At 40.8% G+C, this 13,582-nt stretch overlaps 1 protein-coding gene and 1 long non-coding RNA gene across 15 annotated transcripts in view; one reads left to right on the forward strand and one right to left on the reverse strand.

The window, feature by feature from the left end:
• LOC107984015 (uncharacterized) overlaps positions 1-13,582 on the reverse strand; it is a 49,066-nt gene that overhangs the window by 14,053 nt on the left and 21,431 nt on the right. The window lies entirely within an intron of this gene.
• Positions 7,498-13,582, forward strand: part of PHACTR1 (phosphatase and actin regulator 1) — a 571,071-nt gene continuing 564,986 nt past the window's right edge. For 3 of the 13 annotated variants that reach the window (XM_005248934.4, NM_030948.6, XM_017010459.3), the window contains exons 1-3: positions 7,498-7,627; positions 8,240-8,474; positions 9,430-9,578. In XM_005248934.4, the coding sequence (XP_005248991.1) occupies positions 9,476-9,578 (103 nt within the window). In that variant the 5' untranslated portion in view covers positions 7,498-7,627; positions 8,240-8,474; positions 9,430-9,475. Of the gene's footprint in view, positions 7,628-8,239; positions 8,475-9,023; positions 9,172-9,429; positions 9,579-13,582 lie in introns of those variants that run through there. The other 10 variants (XM_047418373.1, NM_001242648.4, NM_001374582.1 and 7 more) reach the window with 5 other exon arrangements.

Here is a 13,582-nt window from a genome sequence, read left to right on the forward strand (position 1 = left end):
TGGGAATGTGTGATAAATGTTCCCATGGCTGTGCTGCAGCACAGTGGGTGCTGTTGGCTCTGTCTCACCACATATGTTATCTTCATGGTAGCTGCTCCCAAAAAGGGTTGTAACTCAAGGGAATCTCTTCACAGATTTGTGTCTGGCTTTAAAACAAGGAGCTCTCAAACATGTCAAATGAGGGAAGCAGACGGTGTCTCTATTTTGGGGTGCTTTTTCCCTTTGGGTTTGTAAAGGTTTCCTCTGGGAGGACTCTTCCCTTTTACATTCATGGGTTTGATGGCTTGCATGTTGCAAGCCAATTCTGCATCTGGAAAAGAGCCTTTTTCCAGGTATACAGTTTAGTGAGGTTCAGGTTGATCCAGAGAGAGGGAGGCAGCAGAAGGTGGGGGAGGAACACAGCACTTAATGGACACAGCATGTTACATTAGTTGAATACTTCTTTGGTTGCCATAGGAATGAGAAGACTTTTGATTTTAAATCATAGTTCCTCCAGAGCTATGTTAAAAATGTGATGGTAGAGTCTTGCTGTTTACCACTACCAGCTTTTTTAAATCAAGGGCTCTTTAAAAAAATGCAGCCCAAATGTTTACCCTGCCAGAGGAGGTTATACTAACCTGAAAAATGTTACTCCCAATGCTCTAAGGGCTAAAGAACATGAACTTCTCCCAAGTACCTTGGGTCCCACAATTCCCAGGCTAGTGAAATACAATGCAGTTCTATTATTTGTCCTCCCAGGAGAGAGCTGTGAAATATACAAAAGAGCCTGTGACGGATGGTAACTCACTCAAGGCAATTATCATCGTAGTACTGTGAAAGCACATTTAAAAATCAATTGGTTTAAAACCAACAGCTCTTGAAACCATTTTTAAAGATTATTCGTTTAAAACATGGTGGTACATGTTTCTGTTTTGTTTTTTTTCCATCAGTCAGCCTGCTAATCCTTTTTGTTGCTATTCAAAGTTCAGACATGAGAGTGCCACCCTACAATTTCAGCATTAAACACAGTACCAGGTTTGAGTGTCTACTCCTTCCTCCCCTACCACCAACTAAGTACTGTATTCCCATCTAATTTGAAAAGCTAAGGAGAAATTAAACACATTAAAGGTTGAACACTACACAAAGGTTCCCAACCAGCATACCAAAATGCCTCTCTCTTGGTCGTTGGTGGCTGAGACCCTGGAGATGACTGCTTCTAGACATTTCTGCTCATTTACAGATAGGATAGTTTTCAGTGTATGCTTTCACATGAAAAAAAGTTAAGAGAATCAAAGTTCAGGCTAAACTGTAATCTCCTGAGGAAGGAATCAAACTAGCTTATTGTATTCCCAGCAACTATTTACAGTGTCTGGCACATATTGAGTGATAAACTATCATCTGCTAATGAAACAATGATGAATAAATGTATAATACCTGAACATTTACAGTGGGCAAGATCTGTGGACCAATCCCTGGAAGAATAGAAAACTTCAGTTGTTTTGCTGGTTCGTTTTGAGACACGGTCTTGCTCTGTCGCCCAGGCTAGAGTGCAGTGGCGCGATCACAGCTCACTGCAGCCCCAACCTCCTGGGCTCAATCGATCCTCTCACCTCTCACCTCAGTCTCCCAAAGTGCTGGGATTATAGCCATGAGCCACTGCACCCTGCCAGAACATCAGTTGTTGTGCAATTACGCAGTGTATAAAGTGCCCACTCTGTGCCAAGCATCTACATATATCGTGTCATTTAATTTGGCTGAGGAAAGAGAAGATGAACTCATGAAAATTCTGCTCTAGTTTGTCATTCACTGTTGCAAACTTCGCTCAGGAAAGCAGGATAGCAAAAAGAATAACAGATGTCCTTTTGGTGAAGATGTCTTGGCATGGGTCCTCAATGCTTTCCTACTTTATATGGCCCACCAGGAAAAAAAAAATGTGCCTTGAAGCACTCTCTGTGAAGAAAAATAATGATAATATCTAACACTCCTTGGGTGTGTACGAGGAGCCAGGCACCACTCCAGCTGCTTCACACATATTAACTCATTTAATCTTCATGTATACATACATAGTTAACTACAACATACGTTAGAGATATAGACAAAATACTACCGAATTTCAGAGGACTAAGAGCTTATTTGCAATTGGAGTGATGGAGGCAATGTCTCAACATATTAGATGGATACAGTTGGAGTGGATGGGAAGGGGTGCTCTATTCCCTCAACTCCTTGCATACATGTAGGCTGTTCAAAAATTATTGTTAAATACTACCTATGTATTTCCTGTGTTCAGGCTCTGCGTTGTCTCATTTGGCCCTGATTTTTATTCCTCTGCTAGAGATGGAAACTGAGACCCAAGGAGATTAGCGTGCAAGGTTCTGCTACAGAACTAGGATCCTCTAGATGATATTTTTAACTACTTCACGCATTGTCTCCTGAATGATTAGCTAACATTTCTTTGGTGCTCATTATACAGCAATGAGTGTTTTGAGGCTAAATATGACAGATTATTTTTCTTTCATTTACTGATAATGTTTATGATATATTAAAATGCAGTGAATACCAACAAGGTTCTCTTTGTTTCAGAAAAGACAAATAAAGGCATTCCTCTTAGGAGAGAGGAGTTGAGTCTTCCGTTATCTTTAATCCACGAGGAGCAGAGAATTATGATTTGGAAACTTAATTCCTGTGATATGATACCCTTCAATGCCTTCAGGTGACAGATCCTAAAAGCATTTACCTTTGAACAACAAATTAAACTGGGGACTATGTCATGAATAATAATAATTGTTTGTTATACAAAGATATGCATCAAATGTCTTTGCACATATACATAAGAAAAACATTAAGTGTTAATATTTAAGCATACAGACTTTGCTGTAGAATGTGTCAGTGTATTTTAAAGCTAAAAGGAATGAGTCACCTAAGTCCATTACTATTTAGATACGACCCACACTGCCTCCCTCCCTGTGAGCTCTCACTGCTATGTTCAGTCCTATTTGTTCAATGTGCTTTGGAGGCTCAAGGGCCATATCATTAACGTAGGGTCTATTAGACTTGTGGCTCTTAGAGATTATTGTTCTTTCTTTCTTGAATATGTGTTTGGATATTTTCAGGGTTGCTATCTGGATTTTTAGGGGGACTAGGAAAAGGCTAGTCCTCCCACTAGGGAACTTGTGACTAATTTGTCAGCCTTCTCCAGGAGAGTTGAAAATAAATCACACACACACAGAGAGGGGGAGAGTAAGGAAAGAAAGAGAGAGAGAGAGAGAGAGAGAGAGAGAGAATGAAAGAATTGAGGGCAATGTGATTTTCTTGCCAGAGGGAATAAGTCAAATATCATTATTATGTATCCTAAAATTCATGTAAAAAAATTACTATTGTCAATGTACTTCTCCATCATTGGGTGGTCATCTTAACGTCTTCATATTTAGATATTTGACAGTTATAGTAAGTAGAGAGTTGCTAGAGAACTTCTTGTTTCCTTACTCAACATTTCCCCCTTCCCCTATTTCCAGATGAACGACCTGGGCACAGAGATGGGGACTGAATCTGACTATTTTTTTCTCTGAAACAAAAAGATTTTCATATTATAAGTAAGATCAACTTACTAGAATCCAGTTGGCAGAAGGGTAAGATGACATATGAACTCTTGTTCTTTCCTCTCTCAACTGACCTTTCTAAAAAGTATTAACAGAAGGGAAAGGATATTTTCAGAAGTGGGCAGCAAGTGAGGCCAATGGATGTCCTCTGCCTGGCCCTGGCCCCACCATATTGTCCAGTGTGCACCTCATCCAGCGTGGCTGTCTCCAGGGCAGTTTCAAGAGCAGAGGGCTTTGTGGTTTTGGTGTGAAGACTTTTCCTGCTAACTGAGGATGGCCCAAGGGGAAACTCCTTTGGCACAACGTTCTTGAATAGAATTAATGAATCCACCTCTGAATCTATAAGGCAGCTTTGGCCCTGGTTCAAATGAAGATGCTAACAAATTTAATGCCCTTTTCTAACAGCAGAGTACCAGGTATCTTAAACTTAAGGAAGCCCTCAAAACATGACTGTAGGCTTATACGGAATAGAATTAAGGTCTCTTCCCTGAGACTTCTTTCTCCACACAGTTTCCCAGTCTTCCCAGCCTTCTTTAGCTTTCTAAGTATCATCAAAACTTATTCACGAGAAAGAACTGAAAGTTCAATTACTCTAAAGCCAAAATAACTGATGATGGCTTAACATGTTTTCTCTGCCATCAAGATTTCAATATGAATAAAGCCTTAGATAAAATACTTGCAGTACCCCTATCAATTAATGACAAACTTTATAAAGAAAGGAAAGGAGGCCACACCTGTAATCCCAGCACTTTGGGAGGCTGAGATAGGAGAATCAATTGAGGTCAGGGGTTCTAGACCAGCCTGGGCAATATAGCAAGACCCCGTTACTATTAATTTTTTTAATGAAAGAAAAAAAAAGGAAAGAAATTTCTTTCGAGGGAGGGGTTGGGAGGTAAAGTGACTTATCAAGCAGAGGGAGCCACTGCTATTGAAACATTCTGGGGTCAGGTCTTTGCAAAAATGAATGAATATTGTTTTCTGTGGTTGTCTAGCACGCTAGCACTTCAACAAAGATTATTAATCTAGGTACCAAACCAACAGATCCAACATATCATCACACTTTAAGAAAGTCTCTAATATTTTAAAGTTAAAGTTAGTTGGGTTTATTAGCAGAAAAAGAATCTTCTCCAGGATGTCATTTAAGTAGAAGGCCAGACCTCAATAGTCCAACACAAATATAAAACATGGTCTTCTAGGGAGCTCTGGAATATAAGGTAATTAAACAAGGAAAATTCATTGTAAAATTATAAATAAGAAGAACTGCTTTATCTCTTAGCAAAGAGGATAAACCCAGGCTGGTTCCAATGGAAGTCAACAGCATAATGTAAAAAGAGCAAGTTACCTACTTACAAATCATGTGATCTCTCCTGGAATGTTTGGGTCTTTTGCCATCTAACACAATAAATAAGCACACCCCCAAAATAAATACAAGCTTATATCTTTACTTGCCTCTAGATTCCATCATGAAGCATACCTCTGTTTTGAATTAATTGAATACATCTGCTTGTGTATAGAATACTCACATATGTATCCTCTTCCAACCAAACTAAAAACAAAAAAGTATGTATCTCTCTACCATCTCACATATTTTTAATAATTCTAGATTATTTGTTTCAACCTTACAGTTCTACACTTTCATATTTTAATGCCATCAATGTAAAACATATGACTTGATTTTGGAATTTTTAAAATAATATTTTATTTCTAGGTCATAGAGATATTTTAACACTGAATTAAGTTTTGCAGAGCTGAAATCTTGAGAATGTTTTGGGTTGGATTGTTCAGTGCCGAATACGTGTTAGCTTGAATACTTGATGTAACCTTGCCTTCCTCTCTGATTATTTCTCAGAACAATAGACCATTATAAGTGTTGTTTTGGAGCAGTTTAAAGTTACAAAACAGAATTGAGCTAATCAGATTTTGACATTGGCTTTTGAACATTACTATGCTTTACCATATTTAAAAATAATTTTTGAACACACACACACACACCTATATGTAATCTATAGCTATATTCCCCAGAGAGTGAGATCATTTTTTGAAAATCTATTACAGAAGTTGGTCATATGATGCTACAGAACACAGTGATAATTATTTAGTAAAAGTAAGTCCCTGTTTGCAAATGAATAATCATCCCCTTCCCAAATACATTTCTTTCTTTGTTTCTTTCTTTTTTTTTTTTGAGATAGAGTCTTGCTCTGTCACCCAGGCTGGAGTGCAATGGCATGATCTCAGCTCACTGCAACCTCCACCTCCCAGGTTCAAGCGATTCTCCTGTTCAGCCTCCCAAGTAGCTGGAATTACAGGTACCCAACACCATGCCTGGCTAATTTTTTATATTTTTAGTAGAGATGGGGTTTCACCATGTTGGCCAGGCTGGTCTTGAACTCCTAACCTCAGGTGATCCACCCACCTTGACTTCCCATAGTGCTGGGATTACAGACATGAGCCTCTGTGCCCGGCCCCAAATACATTTCTTTAAGTTGAAATTTTCCCTCCTGAGTTTTCTTAAATTACGACCCTTTCATATTATTTGTTCACTTTGTAAAGTATTTTAAATTTCTCTTTCTTGGTCAACTCTCCAGAAATGACTGACTTCCAAATCCACCACCTACCCCCTGGGAATCAACTCTATTTTTCACATTTCCAGTTTAGCATCTCTTTCTTCAATCACACATTCATTTGCACTCACCTAAAGGTTTGGTCAGCAGCATAGACTTATACTCTCTCTCTCTCTCTTTCTCTCATCTATGAGTCATTACAATTTCAGTAGAATTACAATAACGAGTTCAGAACCTGTCGCCCACACCTCACAGTAAGTAAAAGGAACCAGAAGACAGCTTTCTCCTCTTATAAATGTCAAGTGTTCAGCATGTCTCCAGTGGGTGCTGAATAGAAAAGTAACCTTAAAGAAGTCAGTCCTTGGGTTGGAGCAAAGCTTTCAGAATTCAGAGTCCATAGTTGACTTTCCTACAAGGGCATATGATTGGTAGTTTCAGCTTCCTTTTTCATGAGGCTTAACTGTCTGCAGCACCGGCTTGGTGTCTGATCTGTTCTGATCGGGTGGGAGAGGGAGACCCCACAAAACAAACAGCAGAGGATTTTCAGGTTTGTTTCAAGGGCAGCCAGCCGAGCTGTGTATAGGGAGTGGGGGGACAGGGGTGGTGTTGATGGTCTTCCTTCCGAGGCTTATCAAATGTAAATGCTCTTTTCTTAACAAGCTGACCCACTGTACACCACACCATACTAATGAGCAATTCTGCTTGGTCAACAAAGGGTGCAAGAGGTTGTGGAAAACCCACAGTAGGGCTTGCATTTGGCTATCACTATGCCCTGCATGAAGATCTCAAAGTACTGTGCCTAAAAGTCATTACTGAGGTTTGGTAGGAAGAATATTAAACCAGAATAACTTGAGATACTAGCCAAAGTTTATTTTTGTTGTTGGTATTATTTTGTTACATTCAGACAGAGAGAAATGCATTTAGGCAGACTGGCATGATCTGCGCTGGATATTTGACCAGGCAATCAGAAGCAAGGAAAGGAAGAAAGCCAGGCAAGAGGGAAGGGGTGACATCAAACGTGCCCTCTGTATTTCGCTCCAGAAAACAGCTCACAATTATGACTACCTGCCTTGTTTTGCAGCTCAGCATAAAAGTGGTGTTGCACCAAACCCTACTGGAGCAGCCTTCATGATTAGAAAGTACTCCACACCTTGGAGAGCTGAGGAGACATGAGAATAATTTTAAATGCAAATTAAATTGAGGGGGTAGCAGAGAAGAACACATAAAAGACAGTAAAACAAAACCTTTCAATTTTCTTAAATTAGCAGTCTAATGTGTTCTAAAGAGCAGCTCCACTCAGATCTCTTCTTAAGGGTTGCATTTCATCACAGTATAAATGGGCAAATCCATCACTTCCCTCTGCTCAGTGCTCTTGAAGCGAGATTGAAGGGAAAATTAGAAGCTGTTCATTTGTGCTTGCGGGCTCAGAAGCGTCGCACTGCTTTGTTTTGTACTCTACCGTGTCCTGTTGAAAGGGGTCAACAAGTGCCGGTGAGTATCCGCTAACTTCCAGACTCTTCCTTTCAAATATCTTTTTGGCTAATTTTCCTTTGCCGGGGATGGGGGTTGTGGGGGGAGTGGGGATCTCCCACAAAATCTATGCTATAATATGTCTTTCAGAATCTGGGAAATTTCAGACAGCTTTTTAAGCTTCTTCCAGTGACTGATTTGCAGAAGGGAAGAGTTATTTTCAGCCTAGATGCCGGTGGCTGTTCTGTGTATTAATTATAACAGGGGAATGTCTAACGTATGTTAAGCTAAAATGGCCTTTCCCTAAACTCCCCCATTCCCTGCCACTCTTAGGCCAGCATTAGGGTAATAACTGGTGCCCCCACAAAAATTTCTAGACAACTTTTCTATATATTAAATTTTTAATCATTTCATATTCTATTCTTTTGTAGCTGCAAATCAAACTAAGATTTGGGATTATGAAAATAAACAATGAAGACATAAATCTGTTTTGTTTTTTTTTTAATGACTATGGCACTTCTCTGCCTAAGAGATAGGGGGCTGGGGAATAGCCCTGCATGATGTATGCATGTGGATTTGATGATTTTCTGCCAAAGTTTTACACGGGAAACTGGTAATTTTCTCCCTTCGCAGGGGAGGGTGCAGAGGCTGAGGCTGGCGTCACCTTCCGTTGCTAAGGTAACGTGCTCTGGCCATTTTATCTGATAAAGGAAGTCCAGTGGACTGTATGCATTATTCATCACTGTTCTAATCAAACAATCAAAATCGTTTACTTTCACCGGGAATATTTAGCAAGATCAAAGACACTCTGGCTGGAACGGCTCTTGTTTTACCGCTGACAGATAGCCTTTGATTTTTATTTTTTGCAGTAAGTATATTTGCTATTGGGGTACCTTTGGGTATTTTTAAAAGTTTTGTCTTACCGGACTTGGTTTCTTAAATTAAAATACATACTGTTAGAAAGAGAAACCAATTGGATTAGACTTCCAAGCTTGGTTTTAATGACTTTGTCTTGTTAATTCTTTCCAAAAAAATATTCTGCAGAAATAGAGATAATTCATTTGTGTGAGTATCAGGGAAAGGCTACATAGGCTTGAAAAAAGAACCCAACAGGCTGAATGTTTTCTGGGGAAGTATATTAGCTTTGTGACAGGCTAGTGTATGATAATATAGGGATCACTGTAATGCTGCAATCATTCTTGCTGCTCTACAAACCACAATTGTTTCTCAAAAATCAGCCCCTGCCAGGCACAGGCAGGTGACGATCCTCTAGCACTTTATAAAATGTGCTGAAGGGAATCGCCGGAAAGGAAGGAATTCAAAGCATTTGTACAGCAAATATGTCAGTGTGTGTCATAAACGCACGGCATCTATGAGTGGAGGCTCGGATTCCCAGGCAATTTTCCCTGCTCCAGGGGAATCCGAAAGTCCCAGGATGAGCTGAGGATCAACACTCACAACGGCTGACACTTAATGACGCTATTTATCAAATAGACCTTTTGAAAACTGATAGCATGTGAATTTAACAGTATATGTTCCAGAGAATATAAAGCAAGGAAAGGCTGGTATGTTATCTCTCTTTAGATCAGATCATCTGTTTTTCCTGAGTAGAATATATTACTTTTAATGAATGTTGGCTAAATGCGGCATTTTCTCACACGGTAGGAAAGCTATGCTGGGGGGTGGCTTTAGAATTGCAAATGTCAATCAAGTAGTAGAATATTATAATGGGATATTCTTATTCAAACATTTTAAAGTACATCTATATATACACTTTATACTTGACGTCTAAAATATTGTGGATTTTTTTTTCCTCTTTATAGGTGTTCCAGTGTTTTCTCTCAAAACTCTGTGTTTGGAACATCAAGGATGGATTATCCCAAAATGGATTATTTTCTGGATGTAGAGTCTGCTCACAGACTCTTGGATGTTGAGTCAGCTCAAAGATTCTTCTACAGTCAAGGAGCTCAAGGTAATAAAATAAGAAAAAGAAATTCCTCTTATTTGCACGTCGGTTTTATATGAACAGCCATGTAGGCTGTAGCTGTTAAAGCCTTGCTCTGAAAGTTTAATAACCGGTATTTCTAAGTTGATAACCTCTACCAAACTGCTGCTGGAATTGAGGCAGGTATATAATAGAATAAATAAATCCACACTTCTTGGATGTGGTTAAAAAAATGCCCAACTTTTGGTGTAAGTGCCCCTCAGAAAGCTATGTTAGAAATGATTTCCTACCACCTGTGTCCAACACTTATGTCCAAAAAGAATCAAGAATGCTCTTCCCCTTGGAGAATTTCCAGTTTGCAGCCACAGCTCTTGAAATCTTAGGGCATCATGACCCAGTGGACTGGAATCCAGCAGGATTAGGGGCTCTTGAGAGAAGCGCTGAGCTTCTCTATAGCTGCCTTCTCTATTTTAGCTGAATTCAGTTACCGCCTCAGATAATTACTAGTGTACATTCAGGGAGCAAGCCTCTTGGGAAGTGTGGTTGATGTGTCCGTTTTTATTACATGTTTCAAGATGGTCAGTTAGGTTCCAGTTTTCTTGCCCTTCTGTTGGGGTATTTAGAATGTTTTTCCACCACATTAAAGAAGAAGCTGGAGTGTTATATGGGATCTCGTGACTAGGAGGAGATTTTTTTTTTCACATATTTTCTGTTTTCCATGAAATGTTTAAGGTGTTCAGTCAAAGCAACCTGATGATGGGCATGTCCCAAATGATACAGGTGATGCATTGAGAAGGAGGACAATGTCCCTATTTTAAAATAGAAAAGCAGTTGAATTCTTAGAAGTCACAAAGCAGAGCTGAGAAGATAATGCAGTCAGTTTTTATAATTCTGGCATCTTTCACTTTAGATGGTGATGGGAACTTTACACACGCCACTGATAATATCCTGTCTGGGCTTTCCCAAGTGGTCCTCTGAATTGCTTTTACCTCCCTCTCAAGCCAACTTATCGTGGTAACCTCAGGGGGCTTGCAAGCCATCTCCTTCTCTGCTTTCATTTCTCAGAGCATGACCCAGTCTTCTTAAAGTCAAGAGGGGTTGGAAATGGTCTGGTTGATTTGCTGAGGTCTGTGTGCTCAACAGCAGAGCTGAAATTAGCAGAAGTGATGTAATAGCAAACTCTCCTCAAACTTCTGGGTGTATGGAGTCAACATGGCTGTTCCCAGCCACTTAAAGACACATAAAAATGTGAGTGAAGAAGGAAAAGAGTGAGAGACTGGCCAGGACCTCCAACCTCTTCTGGGTCTGCAAGTAAGAAAATGCTGGAAGTAGAGGTAGAATGGAGGTTGGAAGGGGGTGGGGGATGAAGTTAGGCTCAATTCCTTCTCCAGTCTCAAGGTCACACATTGCTATGTGATTGGTCCATTCGACTGGAATGAGACAATAATGCTCCGTAGCGGGGTCATCCCGCTGAACCGCATAGCTGTTGGCAAAACAGAAAGGGGGGCAGCAGTTAATTATAGAGAATAAAGATGCCCATTTTGTCTTGCTGTGGGGATGCTTTAAGCCTTTAAGAAGACCGTGGGCTCCAAGATCTTACGGAAGGAAAGCAGGCAGTGTGTGGGAGGCTCGGGAGGACTCAAGGCAGCCTTCTGGTTTTCAGCAGATGGAGCTGGGGGTGGAGTGGTCAGAATTGTCACCATCAGTGACTGTGGTTTAGACACCGGAGCTGGAAGGACTAGAAAATGCATGGGAGGTGGCAGCATAAGCTACTGTTGCTCCCTGGAGTCATGTTCGTATTAGAGTAATCAGATGATGTTTCAATCAAGGATTCCTGGATTTGCAGGAGGGGCGGGGGTTCCCGCACACATTGTCTAGGTCAGTGTTTCAAAACCCCCAGTCTTCCTGAACCAGATATCCTGGTGTAAGGCCTGTGAATTTGCATTTTAAGCAAGAGCTCCAGGGATGGCTACCTAGCCAGTTCATCAGTCTAGGGACAGTATTTACGAACCAGTCCACCTAATCCCGTTTTCTCCTCTTCCACCTCACAACAGGAACATTGTACTCAACACTAGAGGCAGGATGACATAGTGGTTGCAGGCTCCTCTGCAAAATGCAAACAGTAATAGTTCCTAATTCACAGGTTGTTAAGAGCATTAATGAGGTAAGATTTTAAAGGGCTTAAAACAGTGTCTGCCACATAAGAAATGCTACACACGAGCAAATCAATAAAGTAAAAATCCCAGCAAAAGCCCATCCTCTTCTGTTTAAAACTTCATAATGGGCCTGGCACAGTGGCTCACGCCTGTAATCCCAACACTTTGGGAAGCCGAGGCGGGTGGATCACTGGAGGTCAGGAGTTCGAGACCAGCCTGACCAACATGGTGAAACCCTGTCTCTACTAAAAATACAAAAATTAGCCAGGCGCAGTGGCATGCCTGTAATCCCAGCTACTCGGGAGGCTAAGGTAGGAGAATCGCTTGAACCTGGGAGGCGGAGGTTGCAGTGAGTGGGGGTGGCACCACTGCACTCTAGCCTGGGTGACAGAGTGAGATTCTGTCAAAAAAAAAAACTTCACAATGAAGCCACTGCCTTGCAAACAAGAAATGTGGCCTGATAAAAGTTAAAAAGTTAAACCTATTTCTAGCAACAACCACAAAAAATAGAAATTTTAAATACATTTAAAAATGCAGTGATTCATTTCTTGTCCTGTCAAAACCCAACTCAGGGCATAACTGAAAAATAGCTCATCTTGCTGCTCTCCATCTGTCTTGTCCTTCATTTCACTTTAAAGATGAGAGTCCCTCTCCCTCCAACACCTTCCCTAGATCCCCAGCACACAGGACCTATCACCTTGGGAGGCTCCTTTCTCAAGTTCTGCTTTTACCATTACTTGGGGCTTGGCACTGCATTGCATGGGTTCCTCCACTGTAGCTTCCCTCCCCTTTGCACAGATTCCACAGTCTGTCCTGGACAACCAGCACCCCTTAGGCCTAATAAAGGAACAGTGAATGGGTGAAGGCCTGAGTACCATGGCCGGCACCCTTCCCATCCAAACCAGATGCACACATTGGCCGGATTCAAGCTTGTATCGAACCAACGGCAAGGCTCCGAGGACCAGTGAAGGAGGGCAAGCTGGCGGCCAGCTCTTGAGAAACACATTTGAGACAATTAGGGTCTCATGCTATTGCTGAATCACTCCACCACATGGCAGTTCTCTATTTGGCCAGTCCAGCCAGTGCAGAGGATATTAGTAAGGCCAAGTAGCCCCAATTTGATTACTTCTTCTAAAAAGAAGGCCAACTTGAAAGTACAGTATGGGGTTAAGTATATAAAACTTGGGTGACCTAAGGCTTGGTTGGCTAAACTGTTGTGTGATTATTGCATTTTTGAGTAGTCTATTCTCACTGTCATGCAGATATTTCTATAGACTGATCAAGTGTTCTTACAGATGTAAATGTTTTTAAAGGGAAAAGCAAGAAAATCTGAGTTCCCCTCTCTCATTTCCCACATGACAGCCTCATATCAATTTATTTACAAACTCATAAAGTTCCAGGAAGATAACACCTTCTGTATTAGTCATGTGCAAAATCTTTATCCAAAGCAACAATGCCAGAATTATGTTTTTGATCCACACAGAGTTGTTTCTTTTAGATTTTTCTTGGAAAGTGGCAATAGCCTTCCCTTGAATAGAGGACGTTTTAGCTAGTTAAAGCAAGAGGAATCCAGGAGGGTGAGAAGAAAAAGAAGGAAAAAGGCAATTTATCATGAGAAAAATTCTTTTGGAATTCCCTGAGATTTTCAAAGGTGCCTGATCTATTCTTCTGAATAAAGAACCTGTTATCTTCTCCCACCTCCATTTTCCCCTGGTTGGACCTCAAGGTGGGGGAGATCAGCTGCCTCTCTCATGATTCTGCTTTAGAAGGTATGATGTGTTGCAGAGAGCAGAAAATGTACAGGGTCCTCCTGTTTGCCTCCTGTCAGTGAAGGAGGCTCTCTTGATTAACTAGTGAGTCGTTTGCCAATGGTAA

Source organism: Homo sapiens, chromosome 6, assembly GCF_000001405.40.
Source record: "Homo sapiens chromosome 6, GRCh38.p14 Primary Assembly".
Lineage (NCBI taxonomy): Eukaryota > Metazoa > Chordata > Mammalia > Primates > Hominidae > Homo > Homo sapiens.